Raw genomic sequence first — 19058 nt, 5'->3', positions numbered from 1 at the left:
AGCCTGGCCAACATGGTGAAACTTCATTTCTACTAAAAATACAAAAATTAGTGGGGCATGATCGCAGGCGCCTGCAATCCCAGCTACTCAGGAGGCTGAGACAACAGAATCACTTGAACCCAGGAGGCAGAGGTTGCAGTGAGCCAAGATCATGCCATTGCACTCCAGCCTGGGTGACAGAGTGTGACTCCATCTAAAAAAAAAAAAAAAAAAAAAAAATTAGCTGGGCATGGTGGCGCATGCCTGTAGTCCCAGCTACTAGAGAGGCTGAAGTATGAGAATAGCTTGAACCTAGGAGGCAGAGGGTTGCAGTGGGCCGAGATCGTGCCACTTCCTTCCAGCCTGGGCAACAGTGCGAGATCCTGCCTCAAACAAACAAACAAACAAAAATAACTGAAAAATCAAGATAAAAGCTTCAGATGAGACTTGATCCTGGAACTCAAGTGATGATAACAAGGACCTGGCTTTCCCCTTGTCTCTCCATTTCCAGTTTTGTGGTGTTGGCTCCTTCATCAGGCTGTATCCAGTGGCCTCCCCAGCAACTCCAAGCTGCCTCTCACTGCACTAAAATGGCAGCCACTGATCCAAACCTTATATCCTCACACTGCAATGTCCAGGGGAAGAGAGAATGGCTCATTCAAGTGGCTCTTGGGTGGGTCTCGAATTAACTGTCTCTGAACTCATTGATCCAAATTGGGACACATACCCATCTCGACCCAATCACAATAACCAAGGGTTGTCGTAAATCAAGGAAGAGTAGCTGGGCGCAGTGCCTCCCCTGTAATCCCAGCACTTTGGGAGGTCGATGGGGGTAGATCATGAGGTCAAGGGTTCAAAACCAGCCTGGCCATATGGTGAAGCCCCGTCTCTACTAAAAATATAAAAAATTAGCCGAGTGTGGTGGCGCACGCCTGTAGTCCCAGCTACTCGGGAGGCTGAGGCAGGAGAATCGCTTGAACCCAGGAGGCGAAGGTTGCGGTGAGCCGAGGTCACGCCACTGCACTCTAGACTGGGTGACAGTGTGAGACTCCGTCTAAAACAAAAACAACAACAACAACTCAGGGTCACTTTCAAATCCAATTTTTAGTCAATATTTTGTATTCTTTATTGTTAAGGTTCCCCAAAAGTCTGGATTCAATCCCAACGCTTTCTCACAGAGGGCAGCTTCAGGTTTCTAACAGTGGACGGAGTGAGAGAGGCTTCGGGTCAGCGGTGGTTGTGAGGCAGTTTGGGCGCAGCCCACGGCTTCATGCCCCGCGGCGGGGGCACGTGCAGGCACCAGCTTGAAAAACTCCATCGGGCGTGGAGCTGACCCATTCGGGTCCGAAGCCAAACCTAGTCGGATCAAGCAGCTGAACGCAGGCCCCGGGACCTGGTGACTGCCGTTGCGACCTCGAGAGTGCTGCGGGTGGGTGGGAAGGAGGAGTGGCTAGCTCTGGGGACGTCGGGCAGTGTTCTGAACAGCGGGAGCCAGTGCCTCAACTTCCCCAGGATTCTTCCGCGGGAGCAGCCCACTCCCATACTCCGCCCCGCGTGGGAGGCGAGCGCTGAGAACCAGGAGACACAGCCAGGCCAGGAGACCCCAGAGTCCAGCCAGAAGACGTGCTGAGACCCCGCTGCAGGAAGCCCTATGGCCGCGCTGCGCTCACTCACTGAGTCCGGGTCTCCGGCAGAGAGACAGGGGCAGCCCCGCGGGAGGGGCGGGCGCGGGGCCAGAGCGGGGCCTGGCCACGTCCGGGAGGATGAACGGAGCCCCGCTAAGGTCGGGAGGACTTCGAGGAGCTCCAGCGCTCTGTTCCCCTTGGTGTCGCCCGAGGCTGATGGAGGGTGGTGAGACCGTGGCTTGGAGACGACGTGCTGGGGAGCAAGGTCGGGAGCCCGCCAGGCTCGCGGTGGAGCTGTCGCTGGAGAGGCACTGCTGCACCGGGACGGTGGGCTGGTGGGCTGGCCACCCTGGAGAACCTGAGCCTGCAGTTACCTCTGTAGCTGAACCTGCGAGTATGGAGGGTTTAGGAAAGAGAAGCTTTCCGAGATGGCTGGAGAGCCAGCCAGGCTGAAGGGCTCCGGAAAGGATCACAGGAAGTGGGCTGGAGGGTTCCTTGCGGGTGGAAGGAGGAGGAGAGAGCTAGTGAGCAGGCTTGGGGGCCGGGGCGTGGGGGGAAGAGGGCGAGGCTCCTCTCTTTCCTCTGTTGCTTGTGGGCATGATTGCAACCCCCACCCCCGTTTATCTGCGATGTTGGCCACTAAGATCTTGACCCGGAGCCCACAGAAGGCCAGCTCAAAGAGAGGCCCGTGCCCTTTACTATCTGCCTTATCTTGTAGGAAAAGAAAAACTTTTTATCTGAGGGGGGCAAGGCTTTTAAAATTATCAGGCCCATAGAGAGGATCGCTTGAGCCCAGGAGTTCCAGACCAGCCTGGGCAACATGGCAAAACGCCGTCTCTACAAAAAATACAGAAATTAGTCGGGTGTGTTGGCTCCTGCCTGTGGTCCCAGCTACTCAGGAAGCTGAGGCAGGAGGATCGCTTGAGCCCAGGAGCTCGAGGCTGCAGTGAGCCAAGATCGTGCCACTGCACTCCCGCCTGGGTGACAAAGCCAAATCTTGTGACAAAAAAAAAAAAAAAAATCAGGGCCAGAGAGGAATTAAAATGAGACAACAGTGACATCCCATTACCCCCTTTGAGCTAGGTATTCACCTCTTTAACTGCTTGCATTGGCTTGCTCTTGCCATAAGTAGCTATGAATTAACCTGGTAATGCCACACTGGACACTATAACCCACCCCCTATAGCTTAACAGTATATAGCCAATCACTAATCAAAGAGCTTCCTTTAAACCAATGAGAATTCCTAACAACTTTGTATCAGCCCACAGCCCACTCCCTGTCCCCCTTTTTTGCCTTTGAAAACCTGCTTGTAACAAAGCCCTAATGGAGCTCATATCCAAGGTTACTTGGGTCTGAGTCTTCCTGGCAGCCGTCCTCCCTTTGTCTTTCGTTTGTTTTTTGTTTTTTGAGACAGAGTCTCGCTCTTGTCACCCAGGCTGGAGTGCAATCACGCGATCTTGGCTCACTGCAACCACTGTCTCCTGGGTTCAAAGGATCCTCCTGCCTCAGCCTCCCGAGTGGCTGGGATTACAGGCGGGCACCACGACACCCGGCTAATTTTTTGTATTTTTAGTGGAGACGGGGTTTCACCATGTTGGCCAAGCTGGTCTCAAAGTCATGACCTCAGGTGATCCACCTGCCTCGACCTCCCAAAGTGTTGGGATTACAGGCGTGAGCCACCATGCCCGGCCCCCTTGGGCTCAAGTAAACTCTTTCAACCATATTTTGTGCCTCAGCCTCTTCCTTTTAGGTTGACAATTGACTCCCAGAATATGGAGGCTTCAGCTATGAGGAGCAGGGCCACGGGTGAAGAGTGTCCACACTGACTCAGAGAAAGGTCCCCAACTGGGGCCAGCTTTCCCACCCTGTCGCCTCAGGCATCTCCCCCCGGGGACGCCTGCACCTTTCCTGAGCCTGTGGAAATGTTGGTTTCTTCCACCTCCCCAGCATGATAGACTGTGAGGGAATAAGGTGATAGTGGCTCTAGGACTCCCCAGCTGACTCAGTGAACCTCTCTGTACTACCCCCACCAGCATGCCTGGAACGCAGACAGGGCACCGCTGAGAGGTTTCTCCCATGGGCCCTCCTACGCCACCTATGAGGAAGTTGCAGGAGGCAACCCAGAGGGGCAGGAAGAACACAGAAGGGAGGGGACACTGGACACCCATAGCAGAGATGCCTGAGGGAGAGGGAGGGAGACAATTTGGAATGAGCTGAGTTACCTCCTGCCACCTGTCCTGCAACACCCCCCATCAGCCTCCCTCTTCTGTCCTCTTTACCCCATCCCCATTCCCATCTTCTGTCTATCCACGCTCTCCTTGCTGTAGTCCTCATTCCCCCACATCCGTTCCTTTCCCATATAGCTGTGTTTCATGCCCTTCGGCCCCCTTAGACAGGCCAGCAGAATGCAGACCCCTCCAGGACAAACACACTCAGGTCACCCCAAAATGGAAAGCAGGCTCTGAGATAACAGAATCCAACCCCCAAAAGTCAGGAAACATGGCAGTCCCCTCCCTTCCTGTCTTCTCAGTCTCTTTTGGAACATATGGTTGTATTTTATACACCTTTATGTCCCAAAATAACCCTTACCTGGTCGGCATCTCCCCATTATCCCACCATCAGAACATCTGAATTGGAGCATGGGGGCTTCCTTAGTGGCAGGACTCCAGTAAGGGATGAGGAGCCAGGAGAGAAGGTGTATGGGGCACGTCTGCCCCCGGATGTCTGTCTGTCTGAGTATCCCAGTGTGTCTCCATCTTATGCCAAAGAGGGAGGGAGACCTTGGTGGGGAGGGGCTCCACCTACCAGGACACTTGAAGGGGCACGTGCACCAATTCCCATCCCCACTACCACTACCTTCTGTTCCTGGACTATCGCCCCCTGTTGCCTCCATTCGAATGCTCTTTCCCCAGATCTTCCCAGGGCTACTTCCTCTGGAAGTCATCTGGGTCTCAGTTCAAATGTCATCTCTTCCAGGATCTGCCCTAAAGCCACCACCCTCCCCCAAAACATACACACACAACATTCTATGCCACAGCCCTTGCTGTATTTTCTGCTTACTGCTTACTGATTTTATCTTAGTGCTGTTTTTTTTTGGGGAGGGGAGGGTTTGTTTTGTTTTGTTTTTTGAGATGGAGTTTCACTCTTGTTGCCCAGGCTGGAGTGCAATGGTGCCATCTCGGCTCACTGCAACCTCTGCCTCCCGGGTTCAAGCGATTCTCCTGCCTCAGCCTCCCGAGTAGCTGGGATTACAGGCATGCGCCACCATGCCCGGCTAATTTTGTATTTTTAGTAGAGACGGGGTTTCTCCATATTGGTCAGGCTGGTCTCAAACTCCCAACCTCAGGTGATCCACCCGCCTTGGCCTCCCAAAGCGCTGGGATTACAGGCATGAGCCACTGCACCCGGCCCCTGTTTTGTTTTTATGAGATGGAATCTCGCCCTGTCGCCCAGGCTGGAGTGCAATGGCGCTATCTCGGCTCACTGCAACCTCCTGCAACTTCTGCCTCCCAGGTTCAAAGGATTTTCCTGCCTCAGCCTCCCGAGTAGCTGGGACTTACAGGCATGTACCACCATGCCCAGCTAATTTTTGTATTTTTAGTAGAGACAGTGTTTCACCATGTTGGCCAGGCTGGTCTCGAATTCCTGACCTCAGGTGATCCACCCGCCTCGGCCTCTCAAAGTGCTGAGATTACAGGCATGAGCCACTGCACCCGGCCTAATTTTTGTATTTTTAGTAGAGACAGGGTTTAGCCATGTTGGCCAGGCCGGTCTTGAACTCCTGACCTCAAGAGATCCGCCCACCTCAGCCTCCCAAAGTGCTGGGATTACAGGGGTGAGCCACCATGCCTGGCCTGATCTTATCTTACTTATTAATTTGTTGACATGGTAATTGTCCCTGTCACCTCTCACCCTCAGGATGAAGGCTTCCTGAGGGCAAGGACTTTGTCTTTTTCATATCTGTATCCCCAGATCCTAGAACAATGCCTGGCACATAGAAGGCACTCAATAAATAGGTATAATTGAATTAAACACAGAGATGATTGGCTGGTCAGTAAAGGGCCTTTATCGCTGCCCTTTTTTTTTTTTTTTTTTTTTTTTGAGACAAGGTCTTGCTTTGTCACCCAAGCTGGAGTGCGGTGATGCGAACATGGCACGTTGCAGCCTCGACCTCCCAGGGTGAAGCTATCCTCTTGCCTCAGCCTCCCGAGGAACTGGGACTATAGGCGCATGCCACTACACCTGGGTAATTTTGTATTTTTTGTAGAGACAGGGTTTCATTATGCTGCCCAGGCTGGTCTCAAACTCCTGAGCTCAAGTGATCTGCCCACCTCGGCCTCCCAAAGTGCTGGGATTACAGGTGCAAGCCACCGTGCCCGGCCCTGACTGCCCTTTTTATCCTTCTTGCTGCATTCTCATCCCCTGCCAAAGCCCCAGGCATTGCCCAGCCTGCAGCAGCCCCCAACCACAGCTGTTGCAAACCCACCACCATCGCCACAACCACCACCACCTGAGATCCCTCAGGAACTGTGAGTGGGCTAACACACTCAGGTCTAGCACATGACCTTCAAGCCCCAGTTCCCAACAGAATTGACCCCTGCTCTGGACCCCTTTCCAAGCAGCCCCATCCCCTTATAAACCATGCTTGGAGACCACTGCTCCTATAAGCACACACTTCCTCAGAGAGCCTCAATACAAATGCACCACTATTTACTGAGGGTTCCCCACACGTCAGGCACCCTGCTAGGGGAGTCTCCAATGTCATGGACATGCCAAATGCCAGTGCTCTTCGCCCTCTGAGTCTCCCGGAGTCCCTGTGCCTCCTGCAGTCAGGGTGACAGTGTCAGTCCTGGGCAAGTTGCTGTGCCTGAGCTGAAGGGGAGGCCTCGTCCCGGGCCTGGGCCCCCCTGCCAGCCACTGTCTGCCTTGCTGTCTCTGTCCCTCGCCTCCTCTGGTATCATGCGAGGCACTGGCTCATCTGGAAGCAGATGCTCTGGATGGGGTTGGGCAGCCACACCCGCTCTCCAATCTCTCCCCACTGTTTGGCCCAGTGTTTCTGTGAGAGGATCAGGACAAAGGCAAGAAAGCCCAGGAGGTTCACTGGCTGGCCTGTGGTCCACAGCTCCCGTTTCTTCACCCAGATGCAGGATCTAATGTGGTTCCAAAGCTCAAGGCTGAGGCTGGCTGGTGGATTATAGTTCAAGTTGGGAGATCTGCAGGCAGGAATTATGGAGGCCAGTGTTTGGGGCAAGGAGAAGGGTCTGCAGACTTCAGGGGCCTCAGGACCCAGCTACTGGCCATCTTCAGTCCCTTGGGCTCCTCTGCCAGGCCGTTGGCTGCTCCATAACATTGCCCTGCAACTGCCACAGAACCCTAGCCTCCAAGAGACCCAAAGCTCAGGGCTCTCATCCCCTGGGTGCCAAGCCACACCCAGCACAGTCTCTTCTGGAGCTCAGACTTAGCATCTTTCTTGGAGCGAATAATAGGAAAAATGGGGGGTAAAGGAAGAAATGGAGCACTCAGTCATTTGTGGGTCAGGAGCACAATCACCACACACACACCACAGTCAGCAGAATGCCTTTCCTGATACATATACACACATATCTACACATGCACATGTACACACACAGATTTTCTGAGACACATACTCTGAATTCTTCTGGAAGAGAAGAACTGGCTTGAGAGGGCACAGGAAGCATCCAGGAATGGAAACTAGTATTTCCCAGACTCAAAAGACAGGACCAGTCATTGCTGCAGAAACAAGCAGGGTGACTACTGGTCTCTTGGGTCCAGATCACCATTTTCTTTGGCTGATTGGCTTCCTGCTCATTCCTGTTCCCAATTTTATCCTACGACTTTATCTCCAATGAGGCCCTTTTTCAACTGCCATGACCTAGATTTGTCTTCCTTGGCCCTGAGCATAGCAGGAATACTCATTGGCCATAGGCTCAGCCAGCTCAGTACCCATTGGCTGCTCTGCACTAAGCCTCTGTCTCCATTGGCCACACATTCAAGGCATCCTCATTCATTCTTATTGCTGTGGGTTCAGGCGGCCGTTTTCATTGGCTGCTCTGTCCTGAAGCTCGATCTCTATGGTTGCCACGAGAGGTAGTATCTCCACTGACAGTGAATCCAATGGATGAATGGGCTTTGTTCTCTCCGTGCCACACTGGTAGGTGTCTCCCAACATGTGCCCCCTCCTCAGCCTGCATTAGGGTGGGGGGGCATTGGGGGTGCCTGAAGAAGATCCAACAGCCTCGAGAAGCCTCTGGTTCTGGCGAAGGTGCCTCCTCCTTTCGTGTTCCCCTGTGACTTCACACACCAGCTGGGCAGGGAAGGCCCCAGGAAGCCCCTTCAGCCAACCTGGGGGAAGAGAGACAGAGGCTCCAATGAGGTGGGGGCAGGGAGCAGGTGAGGAGGCAAAGGGGGCCTCGTGGGGTCTCAGGCCTTCAGGGTCATTGTAGGTGTGGGAATTCATGGACAAGCCTGGAGCATCGGTAGAAAGGGCATCAGAAGTGGAGGTGACAGCAGCTCGGAGAGAGTCTGGGCTGCTCTTCCGTCAAGCCCTGCAGTGGCTGCTCATGTCTCTTGGAGTAAGAGGTGGAGTCCTTGCAGAGACCTGTCAGGTCCTGCGTGATCCCATCCCTGCCACTTCTATGACCTCATTTGCTTCTCCCCCTTTCTCTCTCCTGCTAGTCACACTGGCCTCCTTACAGTTCCTCAGTCACACACCAGCCGCAGGGCCTTTGCACTGCCTGCTGCCTCCAGCTGGGACACTCTTCCCCCAGACACCATGGGCCTAAATTAGCTCCATCAAGCTTCATGTTGCCTTCTCAGTGAGGTCCACCTCGGCCTCCCTATTGAAAATTTCAGTCTGCCCAACCCTGGAACTCCTGACCTTCTTTGCTCTGCTCACTTTTTTTTTTTTCCATAACACTCATAACCTTCACATGTACTTTATAATTTACTTATCTATTTTGCTCATTCTTTATCGTCTGCCTCCTCTGCTAGAACGTAGCTCCAGCAAGGAAGGAAGTGTGATATATTTGATTCACAGTCCCTAGAACAGCGAGTGGCACTTTGTAGGTGCTTAATAAATATTTATTGAATGAATAAATGAAACACGGCCAGGCGCAGTGGCTCACGCCTGTAATCCCAGCACTTTGGGAGCCTGAGGCAGGAGGATCACTTGAGCTCGGGAGTTCAAGACCAGCCTGAGCAACATAGTGAGACCCCCCACCTCCATTAAAAAAAAAAAAGAATAGAAATAAGGCCTGGCACCAGAGGCTCATGCCTGTAATCCCAGCACTTTGGGAGGTGAAAGGGGACGGATCACCTGAGGTTAGTTCGAGACCAGCCTGGCCAACATGGTGAAACCCCATCTCTACTAAAAATACAAAAATTAGCCAGACGTGGTGGTGGGCACCTGTAATCTCAGCTACTTGGGAGGTTGAGGCAGGAGAATCCCTTGAACCCAGGAGGCAGAGGTTGCAGTGAGCCGAGCTCACACCACTGCACTCTAGCCTGGCTGACAGAATGAGACTCTGTCTCAAAAAATAATAATAATAAATACAAAATAAATAAATGAAAGACTTTCTCACCTTCAGGGGTCTTGTGCAGGTGTTTGGGGGCAGCCCTGGACTCCAGACTCCGTCCTTCAGTCTTGGCAGGTGCAGACGACTCTGAACACAGTTCCTGGGAACAGTCTGGTTGGGGGTGGGTGACATTAAAGTGATTCTGTTTAGCTTCTCCCCCATATTCCTCTAAGACTCGCTTTTTCTTCCCTCATCCCCTCTAGGGGGATACTCACCACAGTCCTCATAGATGGTGTCTGGGGAGCAGGGAAGGGGGCCTGGGGTTGGGAAGGCTCCCAGCCAGCGCTGCATGTCTGATCTGGTGGGGATATTGGGAAGTGTCACAGTTGGCCCAAAAGATCCTCTGGGGCTGAGGCAGGAGCCACAGAAGAGAGAGACTGGGGAAGTGGGGGAGGTCTGAGAGGTCAGATAAGTGTCCCAAGGTTGTTTTCTGAGGGAAACACAACTCACAGGGAAGAAGCTTGGAGTAGTCGGTGGGTGGGGCGGCCCTGGTGGTTGCTGAGAAGGGAGAGGCGGAAGGTAGGGGGTCCAGATGGATCCGGAACCTGCTGGGCCTGGACCAGGGAGCGATGGGCATAGTCCAGAACCTGTAACCGCTGCCCACTGCCCAGGGATGAGGTCGTTCAGAAGGACAGCAGGGGTCCCGCTGGACCCCTCCTGCCCACTCCAGCCTGGGCTCCTTCCTTCCCTAGGACTCACCTCTTAGGCTGAGTGATGAGCAGCAGGTCGCTAAAGAGCAGCAGGCAAAGAGGGGTGAAGCGGGGGCGCGAGGCAAAGAGCACGCCCCCCCTCCGGCACCCTAACTCAGTCAGCTCTCCCTGGAATTCCAGGCGCCGTGACCAGGAGACCAGGGGCAGGGCCTGCGAGGAAGCGGAGGCAGAGGAGGTTCTAGCGTGGCAGCAGCAACATGGGGCAGGGCAAGATGGGGAGCCTGGGCAGCGATGTACCTTGACTTTGTGGAAGCGCAGCCTTTGGGTGAGCCGGATCAGCTCTTCAGTCTGCTTCATGCGCCCCACCTCAGCGCTGCAACGCTCGATGATCTAGGTAAGGGGAGCTGTGTCACCACCCCAGCGGCCAGCCCCCTGCTCCCTACCATTTCTCTCTACCACCTTGTCACCTCCCCCTGCTTCAGCTTCCCCACTGCCCACCTTGCTGACAGCACCCAGGGCCTTCTGGGCATTCTCCTGACGGCTGGACCCCTCTTCTGTCTGGCGCAGGATATTCTGGGGACAAGGAGGAAGGGTGACTGGGCCCCCTGCTCTGTGGCCCTGGGATTCAGAGGGGCCACAGCTCAGAGGACCCTGTCTGTTTCAGCCAGTTTCAACAAGGCTGACAGACCTCATCACTCACCATCTGCAGAACCCTGAGCAAGTCCTGTTACCTCTCTGAGCCTCAGCTTCCCTATCTGTAAAATGGGGCTAATACCCACCTAGCATATCAATAGCATTGTTTTGAGGATTCAAGAAGGCAATATATGTAAAGTGCTTAGCATAGTTCTTGGCACATATTAAATGTTGAAAAGAAGGTTCTTATTTTTTTTTCTTCCGGAGTCTGGCTCTGTCACCCAGGCTGGAGTGCAGGGGTGCGATCTCGGCTCACTGCAACCTCTGCCTCCCGGGTTCAAGTGATTCTCCTGCCTCAGCCTCCCAAGTAGCTGGGATTACAGACGTGTGCCACCACGCCCGACTAATTTTTTTGTATTTTTAGTAGAAGCGGGGTTTCACCATGTTGGCCAGGCTGGTCTTGAACTCCTGACCTCAGATGATCCACCCGCCTCGGCCTCCCAAAGTGCTGGGATTACAGGCATGAGCCACCGTGCCTGCCCCGAAGGTTCCTATTATTTTAATAATTATTAACCAAAACTGTTAGTGCAGGCAATATAGCAGAGTAGCTAAGAGTGCTTAGATTACAATTTTGTCTCCATCAATTATTTCTGTATGACCTGAGGCAAGTTATGTGACCTGTGCCTTAGCTTTCTCATGTCTAAAGTAGGACAAGTAATAGTTCCTACCCTCACATAGTTGCAGGTAAGGTTACACAGGTGTATAGCACTTAGAACCATTCCTAGAAAGCTTAATAGCTGTTGAGCTATTTTGATTAGTATCATTATTATTATTTTGTTGTCTACAATGGGGATAGATAAAGCTGAATAAGATCATAAAGACACTGATAATCTAGTTGGGAACTCTTCACATAAAGATCCCCTCATTCACTGGGCTCAGTAGCTCACACCTATAATGCTAGAGCTTTGAGAAGCTGAGATAGGAGGATTGCTTGAGGCCGGGAGTTCAAGACCAGCCTGGCCAACATAGTGAGACCCTGTCTCTATAAAAATAAAAATTAATAAATAGCCGGGCATGGTGGCATTGTAGTCCCAGCTACTCTAGAGGCTGAGGCACAAGGATCCCTTGAGCCCAGGAATTTGAGGCTGCAGTGAGCCGTGATCGTGCCAGTGCTCTAAAGATCCCCATATTGGGAGACCTGGTTAGAAAGGACTCTCTGCTTTGCTATAGAAGAGAGTGTCTTAGGCCGGGTGCAGTGGCTCACGCCTGTAATGCCAGCACTTTGGGTGACTGAGGCAGGTGGACTACATGAGGTCAGGAGTTCGATAGCAGCCTGGCCAACATGGTGAAACCCCATCTCTACTAATAATACAAAAATTAGCCAGGCATGGTAGTCCACACCTGTAATCCCAGCTACTCAGGAGGCTGAGGCAGGAGAATCGCTTGAACCCGGGAGGCAGAGGTTGCAGTGAGCCGATATTGCGCCACTGTACTCCAGCCTGGGAGTGAGACTCCGTCTCGAAGAAGGAGATGGAGAAGAGGAGGAGGAGGAGGAAGAAAGTGTCTCAAATCTCAAACTTTTTTTTCCCCCGTATCACCCCACTAAGTTGCCTTTTTAAGATAATTTTCCCTAAACATCTCCCTCACCATGAAAGTTTAATTCTACAGATCTACTGGAACTCTGTTTATGCACTAAAGCTTAATGGAGTACAACTGTTGGAATAACTAAGATTATTTTCACCCCCAAAGAACCAATTTTTGCCCCCTTGGGGGTGATACCACCCCAGCTGGGAAGGCATGTGGGTAGAAGAATATAGCCAGAGACAACCTCAAAAACCGCTCACACACTCCCCCTGAGACCCAGCGAGCAGAAGGGACTTGCCTAAGGTCACTCAGAGAGTCAGTGGCAGAGCTAGGTGTGGAACTCATGTCTCCAGCCAGAGGGCCTTTCCCTGCACCTGGACCTAGAGGCAGTCCAGGTAAGGGGAAGAGCACAGGGCCCCTAAGGTAGGACTTGGTGAGTCCTAGGCTGAGAGACCCAGATTCGGAGTTATGATTTGGGGGATTTTATGTTTAAGGTGGAGTAGTGCATGGTGATAGCTGGAGGGCCAAGAAGCCCTCGGGAGAGTTCTCCGATGGGGTTGGTGGGGCAGAAACGGCCGCAGCTGGGACAGGTACCTGCAGCAGCATGCGCAGCCGGGTGATGCGCTGGAAGGGCAGTAGCAGGAAGGACGGCAGCGGGAGCCGCTCACACTTAGGGAGGCTCTGCAGCCGGCGCAGCTCGGCGGAGAAGCGCACGTTGGTGTCCCTGCAGAAGCAGGCATGGCTAGCGGCTGCCTGGAGGCCCTGGTGCCCCAACCTGCTGTGGCCTCGGTCCCATCCCTCTCCCCAGCTTCCTCCCCACCCCTGGGACACTCACATGAGGCGGCTGTAGGTCTCCTCCTGATACTGCTGGTTCCGCACATAATCCACATACACCGAGAAAGGCCCCACAGCGTGGGCATGCACCACATCACACAAGTCGCTGATGTGGGGGGAAGAGCGCACACGGGACAGGAGCGTTGCTAGAAACCTGAAGGAATTGGGGAAGCAAGCAATGGGGCGGGGCAGAGAGCCAGGTCTCCCGGGTTCTTGAGAGAAGGTTTGGGAACTAACTGGGTCCGTAGAAGGAAGGACCTGGGCCCGGGAGAGAGGAAAGGGCGTGCCCAGCAGCCTAAGGGCAGGTTCCCTGGAAGGACGGAAAGCCACTGACCGCTCGCTGACTCCCTGGACTCGCTGCACATTGGAGAAGAGTGTGTGGTGATCACGGGGGGTGAGCGTGTCCCGGAGTGCCTGGCTCAGCACGAAGGTGTCGGTCAGCAGCCGCAGGGAGCGCAGGTAGGAAGCCTCGGACGTCACCACCTCGAAAAGACTCTAGAAAGAAAAGCAGGCAGTCGTGGGAAGCCCAGTTCACCGTGGGAAGCTAGGACCCTGGGCCCTCCTCCCCTATGCCTGACCCATGCAGCCCAACCCCAGCACCCCCCTCCCATCTCCCACCTCCAGCTCCCACCTCCTGCATGCGCCTCTCCTGGGGGCTGAGGGTATCCAGAAGACCGCTGGCTTGCACAGCCGGAAGCTCCTGCCACAGGGTGTTGCGAGGTCCAGGGGGTCGTGGGAAGGTGGGTGCATCTCCAGCATTTGCTGGAGAAGGACTCCCATCCTCACCCACCCCCCACAGCTCCTCTGACAGCACGGCTGCTCGGTAGGTCTGGTACAGAGGTTCTAGAGGGCAAACATAGCACTTCAGGGAAGCCCAGGGCTCCCAAACCCTTCCCCACTGCTTGATGGTCACAGCAGGGACCCTCAGGTCCAGAGGCCCTCACCATCCTGCAGGGGCAGCTCCCAATTCTGCTCCTTCAGCACCTCTAGCCCCTCCTCTTCCCTGTGGAGAAAGAAAGGGAAGGAAGTCCCCAGGGCCACCACTGCTGCCCACCGTAGGGGTGCTTGTTCTCATGCTGGACAGGGCAACCCATGTGCAGGTTGGATGTAGGGACCCTGACGGCTCCCCAAATCAAACCTCAGGCTTTTTTTTTTTTTTTTTTTTTGAAGGGGAAAGGCAAGGTCTCGTTATGTTGCCCAGGCTGGTCTTAAACTCCTGGTCTCAAGCAATCCTGCCACCTTGGCCTCACAAAGTGTCAGGATTACAGGCGTAACCTACTTTGCCCGGCCCAAATTCCAGATCTTTTTATGTGCCTTTTAGAGAGGAGCCCCTGAACTAAGTGGGCCCCATTCTTATGTCAACTATTGCAGACCAGAGATTTCTGAGTCTCCTTGTCAGCCGTCTCACGTAGCAACCATTGTCTGGAACGCCCTATTTGTGTGTCAAGGAAGCTCAACGTGATGGACTGCAAACTCTCACACCTCCCACCAGCACCTGCAGCCCCTTATCTCCCCTGCTGTGGTCATCAGCACCACCACACCCCCATTCGCCCAAGCTAAAAACCACACTAGTAAATGTTTGTTGAATAAATGAATGGACACAGATAACTTCTGATAACAATGGTGAATCTAAGATAATTAACAATCCTGGATAGCATAGAAGAGATGGTCATGATTGCCAAATAGATTTTCGGACAATAATTGCAATAGAAGCTCAAGGTGAGGGAAGGGAGTTAAAATGGTGCACTCACTTACTCTGGACCCGGCTCTTCACAATATCATATCCCCACGATTCCATGAGGTGGTTCCTATGCTTAGCCCCATTTCACAGATGAGGACACTGAGACCCAGGAAGGCTACAGATTTTTTTTTTTTTTGAGATGGAGTTTCTCTCTTGTCGACCAGGCTGGAGTGCAGTGGCACGCTCTTGGCTCCCTGCAACCTCCATCTCCCTGGGTCCAAGCCATTCTCCTGCCTCAGCCTCCCGAGTAGCTGGGATTACAGGCACCCGTCACCATGCCCGGCTAATTTTTGTATTTTTAGTAGAGACAGGGTTTCACCACGTTAGCCAGGCTGATCTTGAACTCCTGACTTCAGGTGATCCTTCTGCCGCGGCCTCCCAGAGTGCTGGGATTACAGATGTAAGCCACCGTGCCCGGCCTTCTATAAGATCACAGAATTGATAAGGGCCAGAGCTGGGATTCGAAACAAGGGCTGCTTATCTCTAGAGCCCTGGCCCTTGTCCCCTCACCTTTGTGGAGGTGGGATTTAGCTGGAGCTGAAGGTTAGTCTGCCCTCAGGTAGAAGCATGGTGGGGAGAGAACCAGGGAGTAGGGGTGGGGGTGTTCAGTACCTCCCCTCCACAGTTGCTGGAGGAGTATTCTGAGGAGCTTCATCAGGACTGTCCCCTGGAGAGAGAAGCCAGAGTGAAGAGAAAAAAAAACTCCAGGATCCCCAGCCAGGACTCCCGACTCCAGCCCCAGCAGGGATGGTTACTATAAAAACTGCAACTCTCTTCAGCACCAGAGCAGCAGCTGGTGGGGAAGCAAAGAGCCCAGTGCCTGTTGGGGATTGTAGTTTGCTGGGCTTTAGTTCCCCCCTGCCTCTCTCCTGTCCCCTCACAGCCCAGAGGTCCACTCCCCCAGGCCCTGCACCTGTTTGGATTCCATCTTCAGAAAGCAGATCAAGATCTGGCTGTGGGGGGTCCCCGAAAATGGTGGCATCCTGCCTGACACGAGTTGGTTTGGGAGGCTTGAGGAGTGGCAGGAGTTTGCGCTCAGCAGTGGAGCGGTAGGATGTGAGGACAACGGCAGGGTGACCGATGCTTGGAGGGTGGGGGCGGGAGCGAGAGGTCCGCAGCGGGGAGGCCCGACGGGGGACCCTGGGGACCTCCTCATAGCCCCCCACAGGCACCCATCTGAGCTCCAGGCCAGGCCGGGTGGTGTGGCAGACACAGGGGCAGCAGGGAGGGCAGGCCAGGCCAGCATCTGTGGGAGACAGGTAGCCTAAGGAGAAAGCCCTTGGGGCCCAGCTCCACCCCCGCCCAGACCATCTCCATCTTTAACCTGCCCAGCAACTGCAATATCAAGGTCCAGGCATCTATAGATCTCCTCCACCCTGACTCCCTTCAAATCCCGACATACAGAAACCAGATATCCCAAACATTAACTCCATTTTTGAAAAGGTAGCCCCTGAAAGTTGTTAGCACTGAAAACGGAGAAGATGGGTGGATTGAGGTCACCCAGCGCCCCCCACCCGCCACACTCACCTGGAGCACCGTTCTCCTGGGACCCACTCCCGGTGAGGGGAGCTTCTCTCTCCCCATTCACATCTGCTCTCGCTTGGAGACCTGGCTCCGGGGCATCTGCATCCTGAGCCCGGCCTTCAGCACCCCCTTCAAACCTGCCAGCCAGCCTCCGCACAGTGCCAGGAGCTGAGGCAGAGCCATTCTGAGCCAGGACTCCAGCCATGGGGAGCAGAGGCGTGCAGGGTGACCCAGACGGCTTGGGTGGGGGGACTGGAGACCGGGGAGCAGGTTCTGGGGAGGCGGAGCGCCGGGACACTGGACTAGGTGTGGGGGTGCTGGAAGGTGAGTCTGGGGAAGTCTGGGAGTCGAGGCTGGCTCTAGAAGCTGAGGGGGGCAAAAGAGCAGGGGGCTTGAGGGATGCAGCTGGGGGCTCCCAGAAGATGGGGGTGCACATTGGGGTTGGTGCATCATTGGAGTTTCGGGGTAGTTCTTGTGGAGAGGAGCCATTGTGGGGAGGCCCTGGGGACTGGGCAGCCCTGGAACGAGAAGGAGGGCGGGGGCGGATGATCCGAGGGGGCTTCTGCGTGGGGGGTGTTGCTGCAGGAAGGGACTGGGCTGACATCTTCCTCTGTGCTCTTCAAAGGAGTGAGGTGCTCTGCTGGAGTCATCCCCTGAGGAGGAGGGAGGGAAAGAGAAAGACCCTTAGTGCCCCACAGGGAGGGTAAACTGGGGCCACTGGAAGGCAGGATTTTGAAGTCAGGAGGGAAGGCTGGTGTGGGGGTTCCAGAGAATCCATAAAACTCAATACGGGATACAGCCGCTCCGTGTCTGCCCACTGAACCGTGTGTCCGTGGAGTGTGTTGTGGAGGTTTGTGTGTGGTTTGTGTAGGGGGTGGCATGGTGTGTTGTGAGTGTGCGAGTTCTGTGCTTGCCGGGTGGGTGTGCAGGGGGAGAGTGGAGCATACGGTGTGTGGTGTGTGGCCCTTTAGGAAGTTCTCGGTGTGAGTGTCTGAGATAGCGGTGCCAGGGTGGGTGTGCCATGTGTGTTCTGCGCTGTCTGGGTCTGGGTGCCGTGGGCGCGCCTGTCCGCCGGGCCTGGGCTGCGAGGCGTGCATCACTGTTTCCCTGCTCCACTGGCCCTCCGCCCCCCATTTCCCAGTTCCTCTCTCCGGACTCTCCCTTTCCGGATTATTTTTAGTCTCCTTTTCCTGCCATCAAGATTCTTGGAGCCTCTGACCCCCGGAGATGAGGAGGTCCTGGCGAGGTCTCTCCTGTCCTGCGTCTGATCATCCCCGCCTGCCCTAGGGTCTGGTCACAGAGAGAGGCCCAGCACAGCCATGGGTCTTGCCAAGAGGCCTGGGGAGGTGGCTGGGAGAATGAACCGAAGGACAGGACCAGTCGGGCCAGGGCGCTGCGGCCTGGGTTTCTCTTCCTCCCTCGAGGAAGGAGGCTACAATCCCAAGAAGGCTGCAGGGTCAGGGCTGGGAAGCAGAGGAACCCCCAAACTCCCTTCAGGGGTCAGCAGGAGAGTCAGACCCCTCCAGGCCTCGGACTGGCTCCTTGAGAAATGATGAGGGGGGAACAAGGGGGTTGTAGATGATGGGTCTTGCAGCTCAGTGGCCTCTGTGTTCTGGCAGAAAGTCATTTAGCAAAGTGACCCACACGGTAGTCTTGACCACTGGCCAACTCCTCCCCAGCCCCTGCCCCTCAGGGATCCCACCCCCTCTCGGGTACCTGCATTTACTTCCTTCCCTACCCCACCCTTAGGAACCCAGGTACTCGGGCCCCAAGCACTCACCCTTGAATCCCCTCCACTCTCAGTCACCTCCCAGGGCTGAGTGAGTAGGGGCAGGAAACAGGAATCAGATCCGCCTCCCAACCGGACACCCCCCCCTCACGAACCACACCACTCTCCACATGCGCACATCACACAGGGCCCCAGGAGACAGAGGTATCCAGGGTCTCAGAGGTTAAAGGGGTCTGGGGAAAAGCTGAAATTCAGGCTTGGAAAGTGTGTGCGCAGGTTCTACCTGCACAGCTGTGTGGATCGGGGCTCATAGGGGTGAGGTGGACAGGGGTAGGGATGAGGACAAGACGGCAATGGCACAGAGCCTGGCTGAGCAGCATGGGTGTCTGGATGCCTCTGTCTCAGCTAAGGGATGCTGCGTGCGTCCCTCCACGGCGAGTCTCACCATCTTTCCCCGACTTGCACCACCACCTGTCTCCTGAGCCGGGTGTGAGCCAACGCCTATTTCACACCCAGGGACCCTCCCGCAGGCTTCCCTCCCTAACTCTGCAGTAGGTCCCCATGAATTTACCTTTATCTTTTTGGAACCAGTTGCTATTTTCAGCCTGTCCTGTCTGCCCCTTGGAGCGAGGAATGCAGGGCTGAGGTTTCCAAGTGTGTGTTCCTGTGATTCTGGGGTGGGAACTCAGGGCCCAGATTGAGATCTCTGCGGAGGAAGCCAGTTCCTCAGCCCCACCCAGCCATTGTGTCTGGCGTGTGTGTGTGTGTGTGTGTGTGTGTGTGTGTGTGTGTGTGTGTTAGAGGAGAGAGAAAAGGGGAGGGCCAGGAGGTAGGACTGAAGAGAGAAGTGTGGACTTGGGGTCTGTCTCCTCCAGGGAGGTATAACATTTGCAGGGGCCCAGGCGTGGTTGCTCATCCTTATAATCCCAGCACTCCAGCACTTTGGGAGGGCAAGGTGGGAGGACCAGCCTCGGCAACATAGTGTGACCCTGTCTCTACAAAAGATTTTTAAAAAATTAGCCGTGGACAGGCCGGGCGAGGTGGCTCACATCTGTAATCCCAGCACTTAGGGGGGCCGAGGCAGGCGGATCACCTGAGGTCAGGAGTTCGAGACCAGCCTGACTAACATAGTGAAACCCCGTTTCTATTAAAAATACAAAAAAT

At 54.7% G+C, this 19058-nt stretch overlaps 1 protein-coding gene across 7 annotated transcripts, besides 2 other annotated features; it reads right to left on the bottom strand.

Moving 5' to 3' along the window:
* On the bottom strand, window positions 6298-18568 carry ARHGEF15 (Rho guanine nucleotide exchange factor 15). 7 transcript variants are annotated; one of them, XM_011523734.3, is made up of 16 exons: window positions 18466-18568; window positions 16169-16818; window positions 15555-15887; window positions 15254-15308; window positions 13845-13903; window positions 13532-13743; window positions 13235-13395; window positions 12902-13054; window positions 12661-12790; window positions 10348-10467; window positions 10147-10239; window positions 9899-10059; window positions 9650-9802; window positions 9415-9497; window positions 9206-9310; window positions 6298-7967 (listed from the first exon to the last, which is right to left on the bottom strand). In XM_011523734.3, the coding sequence occupies exons 2-16, from the start codon at window positions 16767-16769 to the stop codon at window positions 7816-7818; spliced, it is 2571 nt and encodes an 856-aa protein (XP_011522036.1). In that variant the 5' UTR covers window positions 16770-16818; window positions 18466-18568; the 3' UTR covers window positions 6298-7815. The 7 variants fall into 7 exon arrangements, with proteins under 7 accessions (XP_011522036.1, XP_011522038.1, NP_776089.2 ...); XM_011523736.3 differs by having other exon boundaries at window positions 9650-9753; NM_173728.4 differs by having other exon boundaries at window positions 10348-10422.
* Window positions 15199-15700: an enhancer, noted in NCBI's record as "H3K4me1 hESC enhancer chr17:8216427-8216928 (GRCh37/hg19 assembly coordinates)". NCBI's record gives its function as "activates a minimal SCP1, AML or CMV promoter by ChIP-STARR-seq in primed H9 embryonic stem cells {active_cell/tissue: H9 hESC(primed)}" and the evidence as "EXISTENCE:reporter gene assay evidence [ECO:0000049][PMID:30033119]".
* Window positions 18074-18574: an enhancer, noted in NCBI's record as "H3K4me1 hESC enhancer chr17:8213553-8214053 (GRCh37/hg19 assembly coordinates)". NCBI's record gives its function as "activates a minimal SCP1, AML or CMV promoter by ChIP-STARR-seq in primed H9 embryonic stem cells {active_cell/tissue: H9 hESC(primed)}" and the evidence as "EXISTENCE:reporter gene assay evidence [ECO:0000049][PMID:30033119]".

Source organism: Homo sapiens, chromosome 17 (assembly GCF_000001405.40).
Source record: "Homo sapiens chromosome 17, GRCh38.p14 Primary Assembly".
Taxonomy (NCBI): domain Eukaryota; kingdom Metazoa; phylum Chordata; class Mammalia; order Primates; family Hominidae; genus Homo; species Homo sapiens.
The sequence above is the reverse complement of the archived record's forward strand: the minus strand, read 5'-3'. Positions and strand labels throughout refer to the sequence as shown.

Coding starts and splice junctions, on each gene's coding strand:
- ARHGEF15 (XM_011523734.3), bottom strand. CDS start 16,769: ATGTCAGCCCAGTCCCTTCCTGCAGCAACACCCCCCACGCAGAAGCCC. Junction 13,744..13,844: donor GGAGCTGCCCCTGCAGGATG/GTGAGGGCCTCT, acceptor TTTGCCCTCTAG/AACCTCTGTACCAGACCTAC. Junction 7,968..9,205: donor CCTGCACAAGACCCCTGAAG/GTGAGAAAGTCT, acceptor CTCTTCCCCCAG/GTTGGCTGAAGGGGCTTCCT.